General features: G+C 50.0%; 1 protein-coding gene across 3 annotated transcripts in view, besides 2 other annotated features; it reads right to left on the minus strand.

The window, feature by feature from the left end:
- PRICKLE1 (prickle planar cell polarity protein 1) overlaps positions 1 to 2,507 on the minus strand; it is a 132,990-nt gene extending 130,483 nt beyond the window's left edge. For 2 of the 3 annotated variants that reach the window (XM_011537947.3, NM_153026.3), the window contains exon 1: positions 2,226 to 2,507. The gene's annotated coding sequence lies outside the window, so the exon portion shown is untranslated. Of the gene's footprint in view, positions 1 to 1,922; positions 2,135 to 2,225 lie in introns of those variants that run through there. The other variant, XM_017018840.2, reaches the window with a different exon arrangement.
- Positions 2,511 to 2,760: a silencer, noted in NCBI's record as "silent region_4367". NCBI's record gives its function as "represses an Ori minimal core promoter by ATAC-STARR-seq in GM12878 lymphoblastoid cells {active_cell/tissue: GM12878}" and the evidence as "EXISTENCE:reporter gene assay evidence [ECO:0000049][PMID:35858748]".
- Positions 3,230 to 3,787: an enhancer, noted in NCBI's record as "H3K4me1 hESC enhancer chr12:42984271-42984828 (GRCh37/hg19 assembly coordinates)". NCBI's record gives its function as "activates a minimal SCP1, AML or CMV promoter by ChIP-STARR-seq in naive H9 embryonic stem cells {active_cell/tissue: H9 hESC(naive)}" and the evidence as "EXISTENCE:reporter gene assay evidence [ECO:0000049][PMID:30033119]".

The raw sequence follows: 6,000 nt of genomic DNA on the forward strand, positions 1-6,000 counted from the left end.
AGATGGAAAAATTAATTTACTAAGCCCATTCAGTTGCATCAATATGTCTATCTCTATAAACTATCCAGTTTTTCCTTCCTTTTTCCCTCCCTCTCTCCATCCCTCCCTCTTTTCCTTCCTTCCTTCCTTTTGAGGCTTATTTATAAGAATGAATCATACTACATTAGCCATGACTTATTAAACTTGGAGATTTTCAAGTTCATCAGCAAGTGTGCAAACCCTTAACTGTGGGTAACATCCATTTATTTGTAGCACCTTTCGGTTTTAATATGTAGAGCACATGCATTGTTAACCTCTAAATCCTTTGTATAAACATTTCTGGAAGAGCTGGTAAAATATCTCCTTCTGTGTTTCCTGACTCGCCAGTTGATGGCATTTAGAAACCCTCTGGTACCAGCAGGTGCTGTATTTTGCTTTCTTCAGGCTCCAGCTGGGCTACAATGACAGATTCCTGTCCCAGGCCAAGCCTAGCCACCAAGGCTAGGACCACATTGGAGGCAAACTGAACCAGGCTCCACCAGACAGCAAGATGAATGGCTGCTGTTTAAGTTTAAAATCCCCTGGTGGGAGTAAATATTGTTCCAGAGAAAAGCCTTGACAAATACTGCGTCATCCTTACAGAACTGTCTTGATTAAAGCAGAATCTTTGGATTAAGTTGATGCTCAATTCAAAATGTATCTATCTTGCTGTCATGGGATTTTTTTTTGTTTTTTTTTTCCTTTCTAGAGTCTGAAAACAGACATAATGTTGGGGACGGTCAAACAAGGCTGCCGGCTCCCAAGGGGCTAGAGTCCACTCCTGATAATAGAAGGCGGCTGAACACTGACACTTCACTGAGGATAATGGAGACAGCAAAGGCTTAGTGGGAAAGGGCCAGTTGTCACCTAAGTGACAGGCAACAGCTGAGCTCACACATCTGGAGCCGGACTACGGCAAACATTAGCAACCCTCACCAGTCTACACCTTGGGCCTGTCTGAAAAGACAGATGGAAGTTCCCTCTACTCCTAAAGTACATTAAAAAATGTCTGATGGTGAACCACATCAATTATATAACATCAACTGCAGGCACAGCCTTCCAAAGTACTGATTAAGACGAGGCAGTAGACAACACTGTATGCATGAACAGATACAAGATACCATTTCAGTGATTTGTCATTCATAAAACTTATCCTAAAAGACACATATACATGCATCCATTTGATAGCACAAATGCATGTTAACTCTGCAGGAGAGGCAGATTTTTACATGTTTTTTTGGTTGTAGTTGTTGGTGCTTTTTTTTTTTCCTTTAGGCTGGTTCCCGTGGTGTGTTTGCCTTGTTCATGGTCTCAGTTCTGCCGCTGATACCCTTTTAAAAATCAGCAACCAAACGCGTTCGGCTTGTGATCCTGAACCCTCCTTAGGCAAGCTGGAACTAAGCGTGATGCAGCCGTCCTCCCTCTCTCCCAACCCCCAACCTCGTTCTTCAGCCTCCTGAAGACAATCTGTGAACAATTTTCCCAAAGTCCCAAGAATAACACAGCACTGCCAATAGTCACTGGCGATGCCGTTTGTTTTTCTTAGAGGGTAATGAAAATTTAACAGCTTTCTGCTGCATCCTGAGTCCCGCTCCTAATAACTATTAACATGCCTAGTTTCTTCAACTTTTTCTACCTCAAGAGAGGAAGACGCTCCCATTTTTTCCCTATATCTGTGCTACATTCAGCAAACACCATCGCGGGGCAGGGGGTTGGGGAGAGTGGTGGGAGTTGATTCGCCTCTGCCAAAAAGCCACCAGCCCCTTTCCCCAGCGCTAGAGGAGAGAATCGGTACCCTCCCTCCGGACGCCAGTAGGTGACAGGCGATCCTAAGCGGCGGGAACACGCCAACGCACCCTCGCCTCCCGGCGCCCCGCATCGCCTCGACCCTCGGGCTACAGAACCTGTTTCCACGCCGGAGAAAACCAAGGGAAGAGTTGGTTGTGATGCAGCAAACAGGAGCCATGCGGAGAGCCTCTGCGGAGCCCTGGCGATGCTGCAGCCAATATCTGCTTTCCCTGTCTACACAGCCCAACAAACCGATTATGACCTTCTCCCTGATCTTCTGCGACACCGACCCAGTCTGGGTGTCACAGACTCCGGCGGTGCCAGCGAAGGTGCCCGGCCCTACCCCTGCGGCGCTCGCCCCCCACCACCGCGCCGCAGCCCCCTCTGCGGAATCCGCCGGGATCCAGGCTGCCACTCACCTCGCGCGAGGGAGACGCAACTCGGCTGCACTGTCCTCGGCGCCGCTGCGGGGCTGCTGGGCTGCGGGGCTGCGGGGCTGAGGAGCTGCGGTCCGCGGCGTCAGGGGTGGGCGAGGGTGAGCAGCGCACGAACCATCCAGAGCCCAGAAAGTCTCCGTGCCGACCGCGGCGCGTCTCGGGGAAGTCAGCGCAGGCTGCGCGAGGCTGGCATGTTCCGGGCGCGCTGTCGGGCGGCGGCGGCCGCGGGAGACGGCGCTGGCAGCTGGGCTGCAGGCGGAGTGCGCTCGGGCTCCGGAGCCGCGCGCTGCGGCGCCGCCGCGCACCCCGCCCTCGGCCGCGGGGCCCGGCGCGAGCGAAAACGCGGAGCGCGGACGCCGCCGCGGGATCGAGGCCGCTGGGCGCGCGCCCACGCGTACCCCGGCTCGGCCCTGAAAGCGAGGTCGGGCCCGGCTCGGGCCGCGCCCGGGGGCAGGGCTGCGAGCAGGCCTGGGACCGGCTCCACGCGCAGCCAGTGGGGCAGAGCAGCAGGCGGATTATGCGCAGGGAGAAAAAAGTTCACCAACCGCGGTCCAGAGTCGCAAGTGCGGCTCGCTCGGAGCCTCTGCCCCGCCCCCGATTATAAGCCTTTTTTTTTTTTTTTTTTTAACCAACAATCCCGATGGACTGAAACACAGGAAGAGTGAAGGGACGGGGTGGGGGGTGGGGGAGAGACAAACCCAATTTCCTCTGATCAAACGATTTGGGTAGGGGTGCCTATTTGAGTTCCTTCTCCTTCGGGGGGTGTGTGAAGGGGGCAGTTAATTAAACACTTAGATTCCTTCCGGCGCGCCTTGCCGAGCTGGGGACCCGTTTGGACTCGATCCTGTCTCGTGTAATCCCACAGGCTGGTCTGAGTCTCTGCCCCGGAACCGGAGGAGTGATCTTTCAGAGCAAGAAGCCAAAGTTCAGCCTCTAGTCCGTTCCCTTCCCCGCCTCGACGGCCCTGGTCGTCTCCATGAAAACTCAGTGTGGGGGATCGTGCCCGCGAAAACCTCAGCCCACCGCAATGTCCAGAGCCTGACCCAAGTGAACGTGGCGCACTTAAAAGCGGGTTCAAAGCATTGATCCGAACACGGTGACAATTTTTCACTGGCCAAACTACTCTCCACATTTTCAGTCTGCTCAATTCCCAGAGCTGGGCTCTCAGGCGCACTCACCCACGTTGAACTGGGGCTCAGCCTGTTTGAAAGTTCTGCCCTGACATTTGTGTCACACTAAACCTTAGAACCCCCCACCCTCTCCAGTTCCGGATCGGTGGAGTCTCACCGTGTGGGTACTATTTCCCTGGACTGCAGAGGGCAGACACAGGCGGCAGCTGTTAACCCGAACTTGACAGGTGCCTCTGCAAAGCCAGGGCTTCCTTGACCTCTCCATCCTCTCCACAACGCTCTAGGATACTGTATCATCTTCCAGGAAGATGAGGATGTGTGTGGGGGGAGTGTGGAGGGAGGTGTTGACTGATGCAATTTTTATCCTTTTAAGAAAAATCAAAACTGCCAGTCTCAGAATTTCTCAGAACATCAAGTCTTTTCGATTTTCGTTGGGAATAAAGCAAAGGAATACTCAGCAAAAATGGAGCCGATGAAAAGAGAATGCAAGGAAATAAAGGCAAATGGAGGAGGAAACTGTCTAAATCCAGGAAAATGTATGGCTTCAGCACTGTGCTCTATAATTCTGACTCAGATCTCCCCACGCTGTAGATACTTTCTCCTGTCTAGATGCCCAGGCAGAGTTCCTGAGCTCAGATCACTCAGGAAACAAGGCTGTTGCTTTTGAAATAATTCCACTTGCTAGCGTTGTTTTTTTTTTTTTTTTTTTTTTTTTTTTTTTTTGAGACGGAGTTTCGCTCTTGTCACACAGGCTGGAGTGCAGTGGCGCGATCTCCGCTCACTGCAACCTCCGCCCCGCCCCCGTGTTGAAGCGATTCTCCTTCCTCAACCTCCCGAGTAGCTGGGATTACAGGCACCTGCCACCGCGCCCAGGTAATTTTTGTATTTTTAGTAGAGACAGTTTCCCCATGTTGGCCAGGCTGGTCTCGAACTCCTGACCTCAGGTGACGAGAATCTGGGAAAGAACAAACCAGGTTTTCTTGCCCCTCAGCATTTTATTGGAATTGGCCTTTGAAGTTGTGTCTGTTTATCTTGCTGGGGTTACAAATGCTTCTATTAAGCTATCAACTTTTAGGTTCTATCTAACCTCCAGAACTGCCAAAGAAAATTTCACTACCTCCATAGGTGAAATAAATCTTATTGCTGTACAGTGACTTCACAAAGGTTTTGTTTGTTGAGCATCTATTATGTGGAGCAGACACCCTGAGCACTGTGGATGATACATGGTCATTCCCTCTGGAGGATTACTGCCTCTTTGGACTGTGTGCTGGGCAGCATCTTTTGGATCCATTGCAAAGGTGAATACTTGGCCTTCAACCAGGACTCATAAAATTACTCCGGCCAGTGCATGTGATGGTCTGAGGTCACAACAGTCTGATTTCAAATTTCAGCCCCACCGCTTACCAAATGTAGCCTGGGGTAATGTAGTTAACCTCTCTCAGGCTTAGTTTCTCATTGGTAAGTGAGGGTAATAATATTCAGCTCAGGGAACTGTTGGGAAGATTGAATGCTGCAGAAATCACTGGAACGTTTGTATTTCATTTTATAAGGCATCTTCTCACAAGCACCCTTCTCTATAGCAGCCTCCATGCAAAATCCCACAAGTAGAAAAGAACTGTTTTTTATTTAATCTGAAAAAGCATTCTTCATTGTGAACTCTTGAATTGCTCCTGGGTCTCTTTTTCTTTTTTCTGAGTCTGTTTTATTAATGGTGTTATTTTCTTTGTCTTTACAAAGCAACATGATGTCATACCTTTTGTAAGAAATCAATTCACTTAGAGAATGTCTACTTTTCTTTTTTGAGACACCCTTGATCTGTCACCCAGTCTGGAGTGCAGTGGTGATCACAGCTCACTTCAGCCTCAAACTCCTGGGCTCAAGTGATCCTCCCGCCACAGCCTCCCGAGTAGCTGAGACTACAGGCATGCACTACCGTACGTGGCTAAGTAACTTCTTTTTATTTTATTTATTTATTTGAGATGGAGTCTTGCTCTTCGCCCAGGCTGGCGTGAAATGGCACGATCTTGGCTCACTGCAAACTCTGACCCCAGGGTTCATGCAATTCTCCTGCCTCAGCTGCCCGAGTAGCTGGGACTACAGGTGCATGCCATCACACCCAGCTAATTTTTGTATTTTTAGTACAGACGGGGTTTCGCCATGTTGGCCAGGCTGGTCTTGAACTCCTGACCTCAAGTGATCCACCTGCCTTGGCCTCCCAAAGTGCTAGGATTACAGGCATGAGCCACTGAGCCTGGCTGCAACTTCTTTTTAAAAATAACATTTTTGTGTGTTGAATTGTGTCCTCCAAAACTTCATGTTGAAGTCCTTAACTGCAGTACCTCAGAATGCAACCTTATTTGGAGATAAGGTCTTTGCAGAGTTAATCAAGTTAACATGAGGTCACTAAGTTCAGTCCTAATCCAATATGATTTTTATCCTTATAAAAAGGGGAAACTTGGGCAGGCATAGTGACTCATGCCTATACTCCCAGCACTTTGGGAGGCTGAGGTGGGAGAGTCACTTAAGCCCAGGAGTTTGAGATGAGCCTGGGCAACAGGCAACACAGGGAGATCTTGTCTCTCCAAAAAAAAAAAAAAGGAAAAAAAAGAAAGAAATCGCCAGGTGTG

Source organism: Homo sapiens, chromosome 12 (assembly GCF_000001405.40).
Source record: "Homo sapiens chromosome 12, GRCh38.p14 Primary Assembly".
NCBI classification, from domain to species: Eukaryota; Metazoa; Chordata; class Mammalia; order Primates; family Hominidae; genus Homo; species Homo sapiens.